The 21,285-nt window shown below is 39.1% G+C and overlaps 1 long non-coding RNA gene across 1 annotated transcript in view, besides 1 other annotated feature; it reads left to right on the forward strand.

Moving 5' to 3' along the window:
• LOC105373640 (uncharacterized) overlaps positions 1-21,285 on the forward strand; it is a 58,027-nt gene that overhangs the window by 21,221 nt on the left and 15,521 nt on the right. The gene's annotated exons all lie outside the window — the stretch shown is intronic.
• Positions 4,330-4,830: an enhancer, noted in NCBI's record as "H3K4me1 hESC enhancer chr2:139700345-139700845 (GRCh37/hg19 assembly coordinates)". NCBI's record gives its function as "activates a minimal SCP1, AML or CMV promoter by ChIP-STARR-seq in naive H9 embryonic stem cells {active_cell/tissue: H9 hESC(naive)}" and the evidence as "EXISTENCE:reporter gene assay evidence [ECO:0000049][PMID:30033119]".

The raw sequence follows: 21,285 nt of genomic DNA on the forward strand, positions 1-21,285 counted from the left end.
TCATTTGGAGCTTGATGGGGATAGCATTGAATCTATAAATTACCTTGGGCAGTATGGTCATTTTCATGATACTGATTCTTCCTATCCATGATCATGGAAAGTTCTTCCATTTGTTTGTGTCCTCTTTTATTTTGTTGAGCAGTGATGTATAGTTCTCCTTGAAGAGGTCCTTCACATCCCTTGTAAGTTGGATTCCAAGGTATTTTATTCTCTTTGTAGTAATTGTGAATGGGAGTTCACTCATGATTTGGCTCTCTGTTTGTCTTTAATTGGTGTATAGGAATGCTTGTGATTTTTGCACACTGATTTTGTATCCTGAGACTGCTGAAGTTGCTTATCAGCTTAAGGAAATTTTGGGCTGAGATGATGGGGTTTTCTAAATATACAATTATGTCATCTGGAAACAGAGACAATCTGAATTCCTCTTTTCCTAATTGATCACCTTTTATTTCTTTCTCTTGCCTGATTGCCCTGGACAGAACTTCCAATCCTATGTTGAATAGGAGGGTGAGAGAGGGCATGCTTGTCTTGTGCTGCTTTTCAAAGGGAATGCTTCCAGTTTTTGCCCATTCAGTATGATATTGGCCGTGGGTTTCTCAAAAATAACTTTTACTATTTTGAGATACGTTCCATCAATACCTAGTTTATTCAGAGTTTTAAGCAAGAAGGCTGTCGAATTTTGTCGAAGGCCTTTTCTCCATCTATTGAGATAATAATGTTGTTTTTGTCATTGGTTCTGTTTATGTGATGGATTACATTTATTGATTTGTGTATGAGGAACCAGCCTTGCATCCCAGGGATGAAGCCAACTTGATCATCGTGGATAAGCTTTTTGATGTGCTGCTGTATTTGGTTTGCCAGTATTTTATTGATGATTTTTGCATTGATGTTCTTCAGGGATATTGACCTAAAATTACCTTTGTGTGTGTGTGTGTGTGTGTGTGTGTGTGTGTGTGTCTCTACCACGCTTTGGTATCAGGATGATGCTCGTCTCATAAAATGAGTTAGGGAGGATTCCCTCTTTTTCTATTGATTAAAATAGTTTCAGAAGTAATGGTACCAGCTCTTCTTTGTACCTGTGGCAGAATTTGGCTGTGAATATGTCTGGTCCTGGACTTTTTTTGGTTGGTAGGCTATTAATTATTGCCTCAATTTCAGAGCCTGTTATTGGTCTATTCAGAGATCCAACTTTTTCCTGGTTTAGTCTTGGGAGGGTGTATGTGTCCAGGAATTTATCCATTTCTTCTAGATTTTCTAGTTTATTTGCATAGAGATGGTTATAGTATTCTCTGATGGTAGTTTGTATTTCTGTGGGATAGATGGTGATATCCCCTTTATCATTTTTTATTGTATCTATTTGATTCTTCTCTCTTTTCTTCTTTGTTAGTCTGGCCAGTGGTCTATCTATTTTGTTGATCTTTTCAAAAAACCAGCTCCTGGATTCACTGATTTTTTTTTGAAGGGTTTTTTGTGTCTCTATCTCCTTCATTTCTGCTCTGATCTTAGTTATTTCTTGCCTTCTGCTAGCTTTTGAATTTGTTTGCTCTTGCTTCTCTAGTTCTTTTAATTGTGATGTTAGGGTGTCAATTTTAGATCTTTCCTGCTTTCTCTTGTGGGCATTTAGTGCTATAAGTTTCCTGCAACACACTGCTTTAAATGTGTCCGAGAGATTCCGGTATGTTGTGCCTTTGTTCTCATTGGTTTTAAAGAACATTTTTATTTCTGCCTTCATTTCGTTATTTAGCCAGTAGTCATTCAGGAGCAGGTTGTTCAGTTTCCATGTAGTTGTGTGGTTTTGAGTGAGTTTCTTAATCCTGAGTTCTAATTTGATTGCACTGTGGTCTGAGAGACAGTTTGTTGTGATTTCTGTTCTTTTACATTTGTTGAAGAGTATTTTACTACCAATTATGTGGTCAATTTTAGAATAAGTGTGATGTGGTGCTGAGAAGAATGTATATGAATGTATATTCAGTTGATTTGGGGTGGAGAGTTCTGTAGATGACTATTAGATCCACTTGGTCCAAAGCTGAGTTCAAGTCCTGGATATCCTTGTTAACCTTCTGTCTCGTTGATCTGTGTAATATTGACAGTGGGGTGTTAAAGTCTCCCATTATTGTTTTGTGGGAGTCTAAGTTTCTTTGTAGGTCTCTAAGGACTTGCTTTATGAATCTGGTTGCTCCTGTATTGGGTGCATATATATTTAGGATAGTTAGCTATTCTTCTTGAATTGATCCCTTTACCTTTATGTAGTGGCCTTCTTTGTCTCTTTTGATCTTTGTTGGTTTAAAGTCTGTTTTATCAGAGACTAGGATTGCAACTCCTGCTTTTTTTTTTTTTTTTTTTTTTTGCTTTCCATCTGCTTGGTAGATCTTCCTCCATCTCTTTATTTTGAGCCTATGTGCATCTTTGCAGGTGAGATGAGTCTCTTGAATACAGCACACCGATGGATCTTGACCCTTTATCCAATTTGCCAGTCTGTGTCTTTTAATTGGGGCATTTAGCCCATTTACATTTAAGGTTAATATTATTACGTGTGAATTTCATCCTGTCATTATGATGTTAGTTGGTTACTATGCCTGTTAATTGATGCAGTTTCTTCATAGCATCAATGGTTTTTACCATTTGGCCTGTTTTTGCATTGGCTGGTACCAGTTGTTCCATTCCATGTTTAGTGCGTCCTTCAGGAGCTCTTGTAAGGCAGGCCTGGTGGTGACAAGGTCTCTCAGCATTTGTTTGTCTGTAACGGATTTTATTTCTCCTTCACTTATGAAGCTTAGTTTGGTTGGATATGAGATTCTGGGTTGAAAATTCTTTCCTTTAAGAATGTTGAATATTGGCCCCCACTCTCTTCTGGCTTGTAGAGTTTCTGCCAGAAACTGTTAGTCTGATGGGCTTCCCTTTGTGGGTAACCCGACCTTTCTCTCTGGCTGCCTTAACATTTTTTCCTTCATTTTGACCTTGGTGAATCTGACAATTATGTGTTTTGGGGTTGCTCTTCTCGAGGAGTATCTTTGTGGTGTTCTCTGTATTTCCTGAATTTGAATGTTGGCTTGCCTTGCTAGGTTAGGGAAATTCTCCTGGATAATATCCTGAAGAGTGTTTTCTAACTTGATTCCATTCTCCCAGTCACTTTCTGGTACACCAATCAAACATATATTTGGTCTTTTCACATAGTCCCATATTTCTTGGAGGTTTTGTTCATTTCTTTTCACTCTTTGTTTTCTAATCTTATTTTCTCACTTTATTTCATAAATTTGATCTTCAATCACTGATATCTTTTGTTCCACTTGATCAAATCGACTGTTGAAGCTTGTGCATGCATCTTGAAGTTCTTGTGCCATGGTTGTCATCTCCATCAGGTCATTTAAGGTCTCCTCTACACTGTTTATTCTAGTTAGCCATTTGTCTAACCTTTTTTCAAGGTTTTTAGCTTCCTTGCGATGGGTTAGAACATGCTCCTTTAGCTCGGAGAAGTTTGTTATTACTGACTTTCTGAAGCCTACCTCTGTCAACTCGTCAAACTCATTCTCTGTCCAGTTTTGTTCCCTTGCTGTGAGGAGCTGAGATCCTTTGGAGAAGAGGAGCTCTGGTTTTTGGAATTTTCAGCTTTTCTTCTCTGGCTTTTCCCCATTTTTGTGGTTTTATCTACCTTTCATCTTTAATGTTGGTGACCTACAGTTGGGGTTTTGGTGTAGATGAACTTTTTGTTGATGTTGATGTTATTGCTTTCTGTTTGTTAGTTTTCCTTCTAACAGTCAGACCCCTCAGCTTCAGGTCTGTTGGTTTTGCTAGAGGTCCACTCCCAATGCTGTTTGCCTGGGTATCACCAGCAGAGACTGCAGAACAGCAAATATTGCAGAACAGCAAATATTGCTGACTGATCCTTCCTCTGGAAGCTTTGTCCCAGAGGGGCGTCCACCTGTGTGAGGTGTCTGTCGGCCCCTACTGGGAGATGTTTCCCAGTCAGGCTACATGGGGCTCAGGGACTTGCTTGAGGAGGCAGTTTGTCTGTTTCAGGGCTTGAACACCATGCTGAGAGAACCACTGCTCTCTTCAGAGCTGTTAGACAGGGACGTTTAAGTCTGAAGAAGCTGTCTGTTGCCTTTTGTTCTACTGTGCCCTGCCTTCAGAGGTGGAATCTATAGAGGCAGTAGGCCTTGACGGGCTGCAGTGGGCTCCACCCAGTTCCTGCTTCTGGGCCTCTTTGTTTACACTGTGTGCTACTGAAGCCTCAGCAATGGGATGCCCCTCCCCCAGTTAAGCTGCAGTGCCGCAGGTCAATCTCAGACTGCTGCGCTAGCAGTGAGCAAGGCTCTGTGGGTATGGGACCCACCGAGCCAGGCATGGGACGGTGTCTCTTGGTCTGCTGGTTGCTAAGACTGTAGAAAAAGCACAGTATTTGGTCAGGAGTGTATCATTTCTCCAGGTATAGTCCGTCACAGCTTCCCTTGGCTAGGAAAGGGAAGTTCCCCAACCCCTTGCACTTCCTGGGTGAGGCAACACCCCTGCCCTGCTTCGGCTCACCCTCTGTGGGCTGCACCCACTGTCCAACCAGTCCTAATGAGATGAACTAGGTACCTCAGTTGGAAATGCAGAAATCACCCATCTTCTGCATTGATCTCACTGGGAGCTGCAGACCAGAGCTGCTCCTATTCAGCCATCTTGGAAGGGACCCCTTGCCTCTGCTTTTAATGTGGTGGATTATGTTACTTAGGTGAAGTATATGAAGAAAATTTGGTCTCATGTAGATGTATATTTGAAGAAAGGAGGAATATTTTCATGCATTTTCAAATAATTGTAGATAATCTTCTTTGATATAACACTGAAATTTTGCAAGTTGCAGTTTCCTGTAGGTTAGTTGAAGTGTGGCATCCGAAATGCTAAAAATGTACTCTTCATCCTCTATTAAATCACAATCCATCCACTAGTCTATCCTGTACTTTGAATGGATCATCCATTGATCATTTTTTCTTAATGTTGACATACTTCATTATACAAAAAACCCCACATTTCTTAACATTACCACTGATATCCTCAGAAAAGTCTTAAGTGTTGGGAAGCTGTCAAGCTCAGAGTGCATAAAAAGTTCTTCAAAATTATAATAGTCACTTGAAAGTAAAAGTTTTCTCATTGGAAATACATAGTGTCAGTTGTTTTCCTTGACACGAAAAGCTTACTTCATTTATTTGATTGCCAAATGCACAAATCTGAATAACTGTAGTTGTCTGTCAGTTGTTCTTTCAAGTAGAAATAATTTTACATGAAATAATCAACAAGAACAGCTCACAGCTCTCTCACACCAGTGCTTTTACTTGAGACCGCCATTGTACTTAAAAAGGCAGTATAAACACTTTATGTGTACTTCTCATTTCATCACACAAATAAGTATGAAAAAATATGAATTTTTTTCATACAAAAACATATGAAAAACATGAAAAAATATGTATTCAAGGGTCAGGCTTTGAAATTAATTGTTAGTGCTCAATCAAGGGAATTCTTAAGTGAAACTGGCATTTATTCTTATTTATTTCTTTCTGCAACTGTCTGACAGAGAAGAATATCATGCCTACTAGGACAGCTAGTACCACGGACTTGATTCTTGCTCAGGCTGCAGCTGTTTTACCTAGTATGGCTTCTGTATCATCAATACATAATCAACACAATGTCACAGACAAGTAACTTCTTAGTATTATTATGAAAATCATTTTGATCTTATAGCCCCTCTGAAGGGGTCTCTGGAACCCTGAGGAGTACATGGACCAAACTTGGACCCCATGCTTTCGTCCTCTGGAATAAAAAAGATTCTTTAACTAAAAGTGGTAGCATCTTGTAGCTGGGTGTCTGTGTTCTAATATAAAGACCATATGAGATTATTAGACTATTCAATACTGAGTGCTCTTGGAGAAATAAAATACAACTGTAGTCTCAATAGCTAAGAAAAGTGCTTGGATGGACTGGATCTTCAATAACTTCAAGATTTGGATTGTGTCAAAAGCTATGGGTACATAGCTTTCTTATTAGCTTAAGTCTTCCCACACCATGCCATTCTCTGTTTATTATTCAAGCTAATTGGAAAACACAGTACTAGCAGTAGCTTTAGGTAACATCTTTATGATCTTCTTCTGGGTAGGATTTATACTCCTTGGTGCAGTGGATGTCATGGAAACCACTGTTTAAAGGTGTAGAGGAAATACTGTGCCCCCCACACACTGCTTAATCCTGCAGAAGGGGTTCCCCAGCAGGATCCAGCCCTTTCTCATTCTATCTTTCTCTCAGTATCTCCTCCAGAATCAATCTCATTATTTACTTTTTGCTCATGCCAGCGATTATTTACTTGGAAACTATTCATCTTTGCATTTTACATTTTTTTGCAGATATAGTTGAAAATATACCCTTTTAACAGAATTGTTGCCTCATCTCCTACTGATAATGATGCATAATGATAGGAGCTTGGTTCAGTGAGAAACTGTTCTGATAGGGACAGACAGAGCTCATCTCAGCATGCTGCACTGCCACTGCAGTTCTCATGGATCTCTGGGATCCAACCTTAGGCTTTGGCTTTCTGATCTGTAGATACAAAAAGCCACATAGGGAATACAGACCTGCAGTAACTTCTGCGTTGCTTAAAAAAAGCTGAATCAGTACCTACCTAGACACTTATTACACGTTTAAAGAGTTAACATGCCAAAAATATTATGCGCAGCTACTTTGCTATGTTCCAGAAAAAAAAGAACTCATTTTCCCACCTCTCTCTAGTCTCTTAGGAAAAACACCAGCCTTGAGCACTGTTTTATTATTGACTTATATGGAGCCAGGTATTCTCCATCACTCCTGGAGTCCAGATGGTTTTGTGGTCCTTGTCCCCATAATATACCCATCAACCCAACCAAACAGCCAACACACAAATCTTCTGGAGCATCTAATGTGTACAAGATAATAAGCTGAGATGAGCTAGACTCTGGTTTAAAGACTGTATTTGAAACTATGCACAATTTCCTATATTTTTTCCTGCTCCAGGAAATCATAATTTTATGAATCAGTCATAATTTAAAAACTGGAGCTTTTTTCCTGAGAAGATAAACTCCAAGAGATGATGTCTATTTAGCTCATGAATATAGAACAGCACAGAAATGGATTATAGTGGCTGCAAAGGAGGAAACAGAACTCATTTTGATAGATTTGTGTCATCCATGCCTTTCTCACACCAGAGCAAATTGACCTCAAAGCTGTAGGTGGAATTTCTTCTCCAGACACTTGAGATGTAGGGCAGTCTTGCAGAGTGGATGGAGCAGAAGATGGTGCCTGATTTCTACACACTCCACATAGTTCCATCCTCTTACTGAAAAGCTCTAACATTCTGAAGGAGCCGAATTCTCAGAATCCTCTAATGGATACCACTTGAATTCTTGAAGATTTAAGAGGGAAAGCCCCTCAGCTTTACAGATATTCATTGTCTGTGGAGGCTAGAGTTACAACTTTTCAATCCACTCTAAAAGCAAAGCAGAAAGCAATTACAGCAAGGTCACACAAGTCAGTGACCAGGTGACTGGCCACTCCCTAAAAGAAGATCCTAACTTTGGTCTCACCCCTTTCAGGGTTAAACAGTCTTGCTGTTTTGTAGGTATTCGTGAACACATCAAGTTGTATTTAACTTACTTAAGGGATTTCTCTTAGAATCTTCCAGTGTCACTTGGAAATAATTCTATACATAAAAATACATGTATATTTGGTATTCCTGGGTTACAATGTCAGTTCCCATTTCAAGTGCATTCTTTTCTCTAATTGAATCTAAGAATTTTATTAAAAATCAAGATTTTAGCCAAGTGCAGTGGCTTACACCTGTAATCTCAGCACTTTGGGAGGCCAAGGCAGGAGGATTAGTTGAGGCCAGGAGTTTGAGACCAGCCTAGGCACCTGCAACTACAAAAAAAATTTAAAAATTAGCCAGGCACAGGGGTGTGCACCTGTAGTCCCAGCTACTTGGGAGGCTGAGGCAGGAAGATCCCTGGAGCCCAGGAGTTGGAGGCTCCAGTGAGCCATGATTATGCCACTGCATTACAGACTGGACAGCCCAGTGAAACCTTGTCTCAAAAAAAAAAAAAAAAAGATCCTCCTGCAGCTATTCTGATTTAGAAAGATTAGCGGTAGAGGCAATGAGTTATAAGATGAGTTCCTGGCGAGGGATTTTCGAAATCTGACCTGCAGAAAGCCAACTGGACAGTTAAGAATGGTCACATGAACTTGATCACCATCAAGGTGCATGCCACCTTTGATATTATCATTGGCTATGAATCTCCAGTTCAAGTTTTATGCTTCTTCTGTCCTGGAGTCTGATGTTTCTTCTGCTGTTCAGAGGAGATTTATGATTTTGATGGCAAAACTCAAGCAATTTTCGTTATTTCTCATAATCCCTGGGCCCAGAGCAGAGCCCTTCTTAGAGTAGCACTCACTAAATGAGTAAAGATAGCAAAAAGAGTGACACTGATTTCAATTGAATCAATTATTCCTTTGATCAAAAATATTGGCAAGTTTCTGGCACTGTCAAAATCTGCTAGGCCTGCCAGGCAGTGAAAGAAGGAAGACTTGGAATTGTCATTATTCAAGTGGAATTTGAGGTGAAAATTCAGAGAAACAGCTCCAGTGAAAAATCTTGCAACAGAACTCCATCCAAATATATTAAAAGACATCAAAAAGAAAGTGTTTTCTCTTGTGATTTTTCTTTCACTGCTAACTGAACACTTGTAAAATTGATGATGATGTGTCTTACCAGCCACCTAGAATGCTCTGTACACTGGAGAAAACAAAATTATTTTAATATTTTTGAAGGTTTCTTTACTTTGTAAGATGTGCCTGGGGAGCTTATTAAGTTCATTAGAAAACTGGAAGAAATGTAAAAGTACTTCTAAGGGCTCTTTTCTTCCTATCTCAAACTACTTTTGCATTTTTAGATAGGAGCATGAATAGATAAAAGGAGAGCTTAGCTAAAACAAATAAAAATTGATATGTATTTTTTAAGGAGCATGTGAGGAGGAAATGAGCCTATTTATTAATTTCCCTATAGCTGCACTCATCCTACCATAGGGCCCATACTCAATCCTGACTTGCAGTAGGAGCTTCTTAAGGAAAAAACAGTCATCTATATTGAGGTTTAGCCTCTTTCCCTGTATTGCTGGAAAATCCTTATTGTTAATTTTATGTCAATAATAATTGTATCTTATTATGAATAGTAAGATTTAATAACTTTCATTGTTTCATATGCTTGGCAAAGCACACAGGCATTTGTTTACTGAATTCTCACAACATCCCATGAAGTCAGCACTAACAATATATGCCCATTATCGTAATCAAGAATATTAAAAAAGACTATCTCCCAAATATCTCCTTGACTCAGCTAGTCAGGGTCAAAGCAGTGAGCCTAAGAATGGAGAACCCCTGCCTTGCATCTAGGCTGGGAAATTTTGACAGAGACAGGGTTGGGTCCCTGAGGTTCCAGTTATGAGTTCAAGAAGGTTTTCTTCATTAATATGCAGTAGAGATAGGTTTAGGGGAGGTAAAACAAGACAGAAGCTTTTTGTTTTCTCTTTTCCTGTTGTTATATAAGGCTATATTTTTATTCAAAATCAAATAAGATATTGCATAAAGGCCACATCTTTGCTGGGCCTTCTATGACCACAAGGCACTGTGGCCACGTCCCTAGCAACTTGCCTGACTCATTTGGCAGGCCAGTTTCCATTTGACTCATCCTGATTATCTCTAACACTAACAAATGAGACATTTCCTGGCTGCAAATCAAAGTATCTCCTTTGGGTGATAAAATTAAACCACAGACTTGGTGATGCAGCTGGATCTCTGGACTCAAATATTTCCTTGTGGTTTCTAGCAGACCTCAAATTGGATTCCACTTCTAGAACTTACATCCTGAGGTAGAAAGGTCTAGGAATGTGTCTTCAACTGGCAAGTCCCTGTGATTATTTCTGGCAGCAAAGGAGGATATAGATATTAGCAGGGAGCTGAGATAAGTATCACTTACCCTTTGGATTCACCTTATACTTGACCTGGAGGAGATGTTTTTCCCAGCTGAAGTTTAAATGAATATGTAGGCATTTTGAAGGGCTTTCTTCCTTGAGGTTGCTTCCAGAGAATCAAAATCTTGTTAGAATTATTCTGGGCATTGATTCAAAGTATGAGAGGCTAAAATATTGCCAACACGGTAATTTACACAATATAATAGCAGGGGAAAATAAATTATCCACAACTTACAGCAATGCCCTGTGAGCAGAAAGCCTCTTGGAGCACACAAAAATTATATCTGCAATATATCAGCAACATAAAGCTCAAGATTATAAGAATAAGATTCAAGTTCTTGAAAAATTAGTGAAAATTCCATTTCACCATCACTTTAGAAATTGAACAGTAATAATAAATGGGCACAGCCAGTGCTGAGGCATGACTGATTGAATTACATATTCCATCCTATTTGTTATTCAGCACCTCATATCCTCAGAGGACTTTGTTCTCATGCTTCAAGTATGGAAACTTGGTATTATTCCCATTTTGTTTACAAGGAAATGGAAACACTGGAAAGTGTGTTTCCTTTAAGGTCACTTTATTGATCTGAGAAAAAACTGTAATGGAATTGGAAGCTATCAAATCCCTATGTCCTGGGGCTGTCATGGACTGTAGCTTAAGCCAGAATTTCAGAGCCAGGGAAGATCAAAGAATAAAGACAACTGTATGTGCTGGGGATTCAGACCTCTGGTGATCTTTTCATTGAAATCACTGTTCTTCTTATCAACCTTTTGTTTTCTGGGTCTTTACATAAAAGTTTCCCTTTGCTGTGTAGCTTCTTTGTCATCACTGTTGGGAGCAGAATATTCCCTTGCTGTGCTCTACATTATGTTCCTGTCTATTCCTAAGAAGGTTTTACTTGAGAATATAGCTTAGAATGATTAAGCAATATGATCCTCAGCTGAATAATATGTGAAAAGGGCAATTACATGAGACTTTTATGTAATATCCAGAGAACAAGAAAAAGAGAGTTAACAGAATAAAGAAGGCAAAGAAGAAAGAGCAAATTGTATAATCTTACGAATAGAGAGAGTGGACGGGGGGAAATATTTTGGTGCAGGAAGATTTCACAACTGATAAGAGATGGAATTCATTGTGGATTCTCTCTCCCTTTGTTATCCGTGTTGAGTCATCAAATCCAATGTCCACACCTCTTCCTCTCTTTCTGTAGCTTTGCCTCTGGGCTATGTGAAAAGTAATACATGTCATCTATGTTTCAGGTATCAAAGGGGACTTGGTCAGAGAGCTAAATAAGTTTCTTTTTTCCTCCACTTAACTTCCTGCAGCAGCCTCTTAAATGCCTTTCCATTGGTGGTTACTCTCCATTCCAGTTCTAGCTGTGTGCCACTCCTCTGGCTTAGTCATTTTAACCAAAATTTCCATCAGGTTACTTCCTGGCTGAAACCTTTGCTCATCCTCTCTTTACCTTATCCCCCAATTAAAAGTCAGCTGATTAAAGCTCGAATTCCCACATCTCTTCATCATCTGGACCAGCATTATCTTTCTATGTTAAGCCTTGCATAGCCTCTTTCAGTTTCCTATTGCTATTCACATTAAAGTAAAACGTTAGTTGCTCTCTGAGCATATCTCAAAGTTTTCTGCATCCACTTTGTTATCCATTATCTTTCTTCTGTGGAGAATGCTATCCATTTCTTCCCTGATCCATCTCTGCATCTGTTGACCTCCTACTTGTCCTTCAAGGCTTGCCTTCAAAGGTACCTCTCGACTGTCTATTTCTGTACTTATTAAAGATCATCTTGTATTATGGTGTTTTTCTGATCCATCCCCCCTGCTGTATTACAAGTTTGCTAAGGTTAAAAACTGTGTCTTAGTTATCATTGGATTTTCCGTCCTTTCTCCTCCAGCCAGGACCTGGCACAATGCTGTGCTCATAGAAACAACTAAATGAATGAATAACAAATAAATTAATGGCCAAATGAAAGAGCAAGTGATATATGAGCTCTAGAGAAATTAAGAGACACAGAATAAAATCTCTGTACTTTAAAAAGATAAAATTTGGAAAAGATATATAGCCCATATATTTGAAATATAAAAAGTTACGCTTGTTTATATTAAGGGTTACATGAGTTTATGAGTTCTCTAGAACAAATGTACTGCAAAGTGCAGCTGGAAAAGGAGATTACTCTGGACTGAGATCAATGACTTCTTAGAGAAGCTGGGACTTGAGCCGAGTCAGATGCATGCATATAACTAAGCTAGACATAGAAGAAACTATGTTTATTTTACTATAATTTTCTGTACTACTTATTATAATTAATTGTGTATGTACTTGTTCATGAAACTAGACTATTAGAAATTTGAAGAAAAGGCACTTTTTTGTTGTTGTTTTCCAGTAATATGTGCATCTCCTGCAGTTATTACCACGTGCCTGGCATATAGAACATGCTTAATAAAAGTGTGGTAATTGAGAGTGTTGAACATTTCAGGCAAAACAAATAGGGTAAGCAAAATAACAGAGATTGGGATTCACATTAGATATTTAAAAAACAGTGAGGAGAATGTTTCCATTGGTTTCCAAAATACCTAATAGGGAGGATAATTTGATAAAATTAGAATAAAGGGAGCTAAATTACAAAAGATGTTCAATGTTACACTGAATTTGCTTTTTAGTAGTAACCACAGAAAAGTTTTGAAATGTGAAATGACTTCCCATGTATGTGTTTGAAGAATATTTCCCTGGCAGCTCTGTATGTAAGAACGTGGAATTGTGACTTACACTTGGTTGGTTACCCCCAAAGCCCTGCCTTCTACTTTTGTTTGGAACTGTTCAGAAATTCTCTAATCTCAAGAGAGCCAGGCCCAGACTCAGGTTTAGGAGTAAAATATGCTGTGGTTTGAATGTGCCCCCCATAAACATGGGTTGGAAACTTAATCTTCAATGCAACAGTGTGTGGAGGTGGGCTCTAATGAGACATGATTATCTTGGGAGTAGGTTTGCTATAAAAAAGAGAGTTAAGAGCCTTTTACTCTCTCTCTCCCTCTTTTTGCCCTCCTGCCAGGGAGTGATGCAGAAAGAAGACCCGGGACAGATGCTGGCCCTTGATCTTGGAACTTCCAGACTTCAAAACCATGGGCCAATAAGTTTTTGTTCATTATAAATTACCCAGTCTGAGGTATTCTGTGACAGCAGCACAAAACCAACTAAGACAGCATATAACTTAGCTATAGCCAAAAAGATGTAGCTGAAAGCTTGGCAGGGGAACCCTGAGGAAGTGCTTCCGTTTCACCCCTACTTCCTGTTGCATCCATCTTAGTACTGTACTGTATGGCCAAGAGCATTGTTGAGATGCTGACTCAGGCCCTCCTCATCTGTAAGTCCCTAAATCTAAGTCACACTAATAATTGCCTACCATTATGGGAAAAAAAGAGAACACATATATCTTTATCTACTGTTAGTCCAGCTTTTTTACAAAAACTTTCCTATCTCTGTCTCTCTGTTTTTTTCTCTCTCCTCTCTCTCTTCTGTCTCTCTCTCATTTCTCACAGACACAGACACGCACACACACAGATTAATATAGATTTAGTAGTAGCAGAGAGTCTACGTACACTGGAGTAAAGGAGAGTAAAAATCCCTGCCTTAGAGATAATGTAGTTTAATGCCCTAATTTCACCGATTAGGACACTGAAGCCCAGCAAGGAACGTTGGCTTGCTCATAGGAACACAGCAACAGATTTCTGAGCAGAACACACGTCTCCTTACTCCTAGACCAGGGCTCTTCTCCACTTCTTTCTGTGTAGCTTGGCCTTAAGAATCCATAAAGCTGTACAATTTTAGCTTGCAAAATACCTGCTTCACTGTCTACTTACAAGAGTTTTAAATTTGAGCCAGCAGAACAAGGTTCAAATCTGGAGCTTGAGTTGAGGGGTTTTTGTAAATTGGGCAAGTTACTTACTTTTTCTGTATCTTGACTTCTTGATCTGTAAAATAGAAATTATTAAATAGGACTTGGCTCCTAGGGTTCTTGATTAAAAAATGCAAGTGAATATATGTGAAGTGCTGAGTACAGTGCCTGGTACAGACTAACTACTAAGAATGTTGGCTATCACTAACATTTTTATTGGGACCTCAGGATGTTGGTCCCAGCCACTCCTCACAGCACTTATTCAAACTTCGTCTAGTCATCAGAGGTATTGTAGATAAAATATGTCAGCAACTAAGAGGAGAACCTGGCATCCTTTTCTAAATATATGATGTATTGATTTTGATACTGGAAATGTGGGGAAGATAGAATCTGCAAAAACTCAGATGATGGATGGAAAGTAATAAGAAAATTGAAGTAAGGCATTTGAGAAAATAGTATTTTTTCAAGACTATTAGATCAGAATCATAATTTTAGATGCAATGTGATGAGGGCCTAGATGAAAGATGCTAGTAGATGAAATGGGAAGAACAGATATGAGGGTTATATTATGATGAAAACAAATGACTGGACCTGACAGTACACTTTATATATTGTGAAGGGTGGTGGAGTGCTAGAAGAAAGAAGATGTCAAGTTACAGCTAATCATTAATTCTTCTTGTTTCTACCAATGTTCATGAACTTTTCATGCTCTGGTGAGAGATACAATGTATCTTGTTTGTACCCAGAGGGCATGATTCCAATGATGATTGTAACCTAATTTAAGGTAGATTTTACTGTCTTTTCATAATGAGAAGCAGGCATGGATATTTCCCAGCATTTAAAACCAAAATAAATTAGATTACTTAATTTTTGAGGACCATTTCTGAAAAACTTTGTAGTCATTTAATTTTTCCCCGTGATTCTTCGTGATGGAAATTAAGAGACTCGAGTGGAATATTGACATTTCTATCAAGATTTTAACTGGAAAACCAAAGAACTAGTCTGCTGAAGGGCTTGAAGAAGACCCTCATGTTTGCACTGTTTGTGTTTCAGTTGCTCTTGATGATTCCTCTTTTACTGTCAGTTTACAATGTTGCGTTTTTCAAACCTGGAGGGCTTTAAGTGGAGCACTCACTTTGGGTTTACTATATAATTTTCCTTCAAAGCCACTCTTGAGAGGTTCTGGTCAGTTATTATTTTGACAAGAATGTTTGTGTGCATGTGTGTAATGTGGAGAAGGATTCATTCAAAATCCACCGAGACCTCAAGCTTATGCACACAGGCTGTTCCTGTGAATCACTGGGTCTTTCATTAGACCCAAAGGGTATGCTGGTAGGTCTTAGCAAATAATAATGTAGAACATAGAATCTGAAACTCAGCCTAGATTTCAATCAAATCGTGGTATTAGTTTGCTAGGGTTGCCATGAAAAATACCACAGATTGAGTGTCTTAAACAACAGAAATTTATATTCTCACAGTTGTGGAGGCTACAAGTCCAAGATCAAGATATCAGCAGATTTGGTTTCTTCAGAAGCCTCTCTCCTTGGCTTACAGATGGCCACCTTTTCACTGAGTTCTCACATGGTCTTTCCTCTCTGTGTTCTCCTCTCCTCCCATCCCTGATATTTATCTGTGTGTTCTAATCTTCTATTCTTATGACTGTGACTTCCCACCAGTCACATTGGATTAGGTTGTATCCTAAAGGCCTCATCTTAACTTAATTACCTCTTCAGAGACCCCATCTCCACATACAGCCATATTGTAAGGTAGTGGGGCTAGGGTTTCAATGTATTTTCAGGGGACACAAAGCAGCCCGTTAACACTCCACCCTTGGGACCCTCAAAACTCACATCCTTTTCACAAGCAAAATACATTCACCTCCATCCCAACAGCCCCTAAGTCTTAATCCATCCCAGCATCAACTCTACGTCTAAAGTCTTATCCATATATCATCTAAGTCAGGTATGGGTAATATTAAAGTATGATTTATCTTGATGCAAAATTCCTTTCAGCTGTGAACCTGTCAAACCAGACAAGTTATCTGTTTCCAAAATACGATAGGAGAGGCATTGTCTAGACATTACAATTCCAAAAGCAGGGAATCAGACAGAAGAAAGAGGTCATAGGTTCCAGGCAAGCCCAAAAACTAGGGCAAATTCCATTAGATTTTAAAGCTGGAGAATAACCTTTTTGGTTTGATGTTGTTTTCCAGGCTGGCCCACTGGGATGGAAGCATTGTCCCTGTAAACTGTGGCTGCAGCCCTCCCCCTGAGTGAGCAGCCCTGCCTCCGAGGTCCCAAGTAGCCTCTCCTTGATGTTGTAAGTGGGCATCCCTGCCTCTGAGGTCCCGAGTGGGTAGCCTCTCGTCTGAGGTTCTGAGTGAGCAGCCCAGCCTCTGAGATCCCAAGTGGGCAGCCCTGCCTCCATGGTCCCGATTGGCCACTCCTCTGAGGTCCCTAGTGAGCAGCCTAACCTGCTAAAATGGAGGAGGTGGCCCCACCCTCTGAAACCAAGTAGGATACAGCCTCAGTTCTCCTAGCACCCCCTACGACTTCTGCAGCCACTGTGGCAGTGCAGTCTTGCTTATTTCTGAATCACCTTTGGGATCATTTTCCAGAAGGATAATGCATGTTCACAGGCTGATTGCTCTGTTGCCCCATCCTGTAGAATCTAAGAAGTCCAAATGCCTTCCTTCGTTTTGTACCATCTCTGTCCATTTCAGTCCAAGCTGTCAGAGTTTCTGCTGAGATGTTTGATTAGATATATGAGTCACATTCTTACTAATCTCTTTATCAAATGGTTGTCCAGTCAAATCCTGGATGTTCTCTTCAGAACATGTTTTATCTTTTATTTATTTATTTATTTTTGCAATATGGATAGGCTGATAATTTTCCAAATCTTCAAGTTCTGGTCCCTTTTTGCATAACAATTTCTTCTTTGATTTATCTTTCTCCTCTTGCCTTTTACTGTAAAGTAGCAAAAAGAAACTAAGCCACACCTTTAGCACTTTGTTTAGACATCTCTGCTACTAAATATCCAAGCTCATCACTCACAAGTTCTACCTTCCACACACACTAGAACACAACTCAGCCCAGTTCTTTGTCATTTTATAATGAGTGTCTTTCATCAAGCATCAAATAATAACATGTTCCTCATTTACATCTGCACCAACAGAACCTTCAGTATCCATATTTCTACCAACAGTCTCTTTAAGGCAATCTAGGCTTTTTGTAACATTTGCCCTAAAACTTTTCCAGCTTCTAACCATTATCCTATTTCAATGCCACTTCCACATTATTAGGTGTATACTACAGCAGTACCTTGCTTCACTGTACCAAAATCTGTATTAGCTTGCTAGAGCTGCCATAACAAAATGCCACAAACTGGGTGGGTGGCTTAAACAACAGTAACTAATTTCCTCATAATTCTGGGGGGCATAAGTCTAAGATCAAGGTAATGTCAGGTTTCGTTTCTTCTCAGTCTTCACACCCTGGCTTTCAGATAGCTACCTTCTGTGTCTTATTTCTGTATGTGTATCCCTCTGTGTGTCTTAATTTCCTCTTCCTATAAAGACACCAGTCATATTCAATTAGGGCCCTTCCTACTGGTCTCATTCTAAGTTAATTACTACTTTAAAAGCCCTGTCTCCAAATAGAGTCACATTCTATGGTACCAGGGATAGGGCTTCAACATATAAATTTTGGAAGGACACATTCAGACCATAACAAATTCTTATATCTTTTTCTGGGTAAATATGTGAGTAAAATACCTCATGGTTTATATTTTTTCTGAAGTATTTCAGATATCATTGAATACATTCTTACTGGGTGCCTTTTAAATTTGTGATGATCCTACCTGATCTCTAGTCTTGAAGCGACCATAGGGAAAAGGAGAACAAAATACCAGTGACTCACTCCCACCAGCTGGTTGGCAATTTCAGCCTCTCCAATTACATACGCCTTTATGATTCAAAAGTAGGGGGTGTCTTGGGGTGTGTGACAGTTACCATATTCTGATTCAAATGGGATCTTGGCTGTCTGATAAAGGTTGTAATTATTGCTGAACCTGTTCCCAGTACTGCTGGGACTTTGTTTACTCCACAGCCAAATCAGCTACTGATTGGATTCCCATTTCTCTTTTTCTGCTTCAGCTATCTCAGAACCAGTGTTATAGGGTGTGTTAGTTTCCTAGGGTGACCTTAACAAATTACCATAAACCGGATGGTCTTAAAACAACAGAAATTTATTCTCTCACAGTTGTGGAGGCTAGAAGTCTAAAATCAAGGTTTCAGCCAGATTGGTTCCTTCTGGAGGCTCTGAGGAAGAATTCTTCTTTGCCTCTTCTAGTTTCTGGTGGTGACTGTCAATCTTTAGTGTTCCTTGGCTTGCAGTTATATCACTTCAATCTCTGTTTCTGTCATCACATGGCATTCTCCCTGTGTTCCTCTGTACTCCTGTGTCTTTACATGACCTGACCTTCTTGTAGGGGTAATAGTCATTGAGTTTAGTGCCTATTTAATCCAGTATAGCCTCATTTTAACTTGAGTACAACTTCAAAGACCCTATTTCCAAATAAGGTCACCTTCAGAGCTTCCAGAAATTATGGCTTCAACATATATTTTAAGGGGATACAATTATACCCACCACACAATGCCTTTCTGTCCCTTTTTCTTTAGGGTTGATGTTGCTAGGGATGGTTGTTGAATTCACAATTTTACTATTCTATCAAGCTTTTTCATTCTTTCTGCAATTGATACTATGATGATAGAATTGACAAGACACGGTGGCTGACTTGAAAAAGGTGGAGGTAATAAATGAAGAATCAGATGGTTTCAAGCTATGGTGACCATCCTGAAAGCCCAGACAATCCCTGAAACAGGCTTGAAGAAGGGATTATCAGCCCATCCCCAAGACAGACTTGAAGTATGAATTATATGCAGGGTACATAGGTAAGGCTCTTAACTCTAGCAACTCCTACAATCAAACAAAGCATTACATTAGGGCTCAGTGGCTCTTGCCTTCAAGTATAAAATTAAAATTACTATGGTTTACTAAGCCTCTAAATGAGTTACCCTTATCTACCTCTCCATATTCAATTATTTTACCTCTTTTCCCCGTGACAAATTGCTTGTTGCATAAAATATACATTTCTTTTTCTCTCTTGGTAAAAAAGAATACCTGTTTTTTAACTTCCTTCTGGAATTTCCCAGCCTTTCTTGTACTTAGATTAGTCATTTGACTTTTTTTTCTGGTCAATGGAATATATATTAAAGTGTTGTGTTCACTTCCAGGAAGTATCCTTAAAAAATGAGGTAGATTCTTTGTTATTTCTTCCATCTGCCTATAACTGGAATTCACTTGTGAGAGCTGGAGCTCACGTGGCCATTTTAGGTCACGAGGAAGATGATGACTCCATAATATGGAAGTAACCTGGATTTCTGATGGCTTTGTGAAGCTGCCCTTCAATTTTAGACTAATGATTTTTATTTAAGGTTCTGTTACTTTGTAATTTTTCGTATTTGAAGTTGAACCAAATCCTAACTTATATTCTTATAGACTATTCTTCAGTCACACTGTTTTTGAAAACACCAAGCACAATTCTAACTTGGAAATTTATTCTTGCTGCCACTTCTGCCTGAAGTATCTTCTCCCAGTTTTCATGGTTGTGTGGCTTTCTTCTGGTCTTTTTTTCTGGCCTTGCCTCATATATCACCTCTTGAAAGAGGCTTTGGCTTATGCCACCTATCCCACCTTCATTGTGACTTTGAACTCTCTCCATCTCATTAGCCCTTCTTTGCTTCATAGCATCTCCTCTATCACTCTCTGAAGGTAGCTCATTTGTTCACTTGCTTGTCAGTCTCTTGCTTAGAATATAATCCCCACCAGCCCCATCACCTTGTGTATCTTTTTATCGTTGTATACGGGGGCCTAGAACAAAGTGCAACAGTAAGCACTCAAATACCTATGGGAACAAATGAATGAAGTCTCCTTCTGAGTCCTCTCTCAGCTTGAGAAGGGTACAATATTTTTATTTATTTATTTATTTATTTATTTTGAGATGGAGCCTTGCTCTGTCGCCCAGGCTGGAGTGCAGTGGCATGATCTCCGCTCACTGCAAGCTCCGCCTCCTGGGTTCACACCATTCTCCTGCCTCAGCCTCCCGAGTAGGTGGGACTACAGGTGTCCACCACCAAGTCCGGCTAATTTTTTTTTATTTTTATTTTTAGTAGAGATGAGGTTTCACCATGTTAGCCAGGATGGTCTCGATCTCCTGACCTCGTGATCCGCCCGTCTCGGCCTCCCAAAGTGCTGGGATTACAGGCGTGAGCCACTGCGCCTGGCCGGGTACAAGATTTTTATTAGCTTTTTCTTTTGTTTTTGTTTTTTATTTCTGTGACCCATGGCTACATAAGACAAGATCTTAGAATAATAATTGAGATTTTGACTTTGCGCACTTCCTTCCATAACCCTCTTTGCGTGAGCCAGTGACTCACAAAATTATTTTTACTATTGAAAAAGCAATAATACATGATTTACCCCAATAAATAACACATTTATTCAGCAGAATGGTCTGGCTTTAGTGCAGAATTAGCTACATATATTTTTAGTCAATTATCTTTTAGGTTGTATTTAAAATATTTAAAGTTGTTTATGCATCAATATTCAGACCTTGCGTGTGTGTTTAGTTAGGCTTCCTAGTAGAAAATATGAAATCTCTATGCATACAGCTATAATGAATGTAGATATAGTCAGCATGATGAAGTATAAGAAGCATGCACTTGGGTCAAGACTGAGTTCAGCTTTGGCTCTGCTTTCACTGGTTATGTGGCCCTGTGCAAACTGCTGGACCTCTATGAGCCTCTCTCTCCCTAGCCCTCAAGCGGGGAAGATGGTAAGTCCTTAAGAGGTTTATTATTAGAATTAGAAGAGATTATGCATGTAAATGGCTCAGTGTGAACCCAGTCATTGTTAATCCCCTTTCCTCTGTTTAGAGAAAATTGCTTAACAAAAAACAACAACAAAAAAAATGAGTAATTTTTCTTAACTTTTTATTGTGAAATATAAAACACAAATAGAAGTGTGGATAAGACATAACTATATAGCTTAATAGATTAAATATTGCCCAATAGGCTAATATATAGAATATCACGTCCAGAAATTATACATTATTGGTGCTCCCAAATCCTGTGTTCTGAAGGCTGTTTCCCATCCACAGTTCCCTCCCTCCCCAGAGTGTTACCACTGTTTTGATTTCTCTGGTAATGTTACCCATCCTCTTCTGAGAGTTTAAAATTTAAGAATGCAAGTCTTCACATTATAATTAACTTTTGCATGTTTTTGATGAAATCAGATGG

Source organism: Homo sapiens, chromosome 2 (assembly GCF_000001405.40).
Source record: "Homo sapiens chromosome 2, GRCh38.p14 Primary Assembly".
In the NCBI taxonomy this organism is placed as follows: Eukaryota; Metazoa; Chordata; class Mammalia; order Primates; family Hominidae; genus Homo; species Homo sapiens.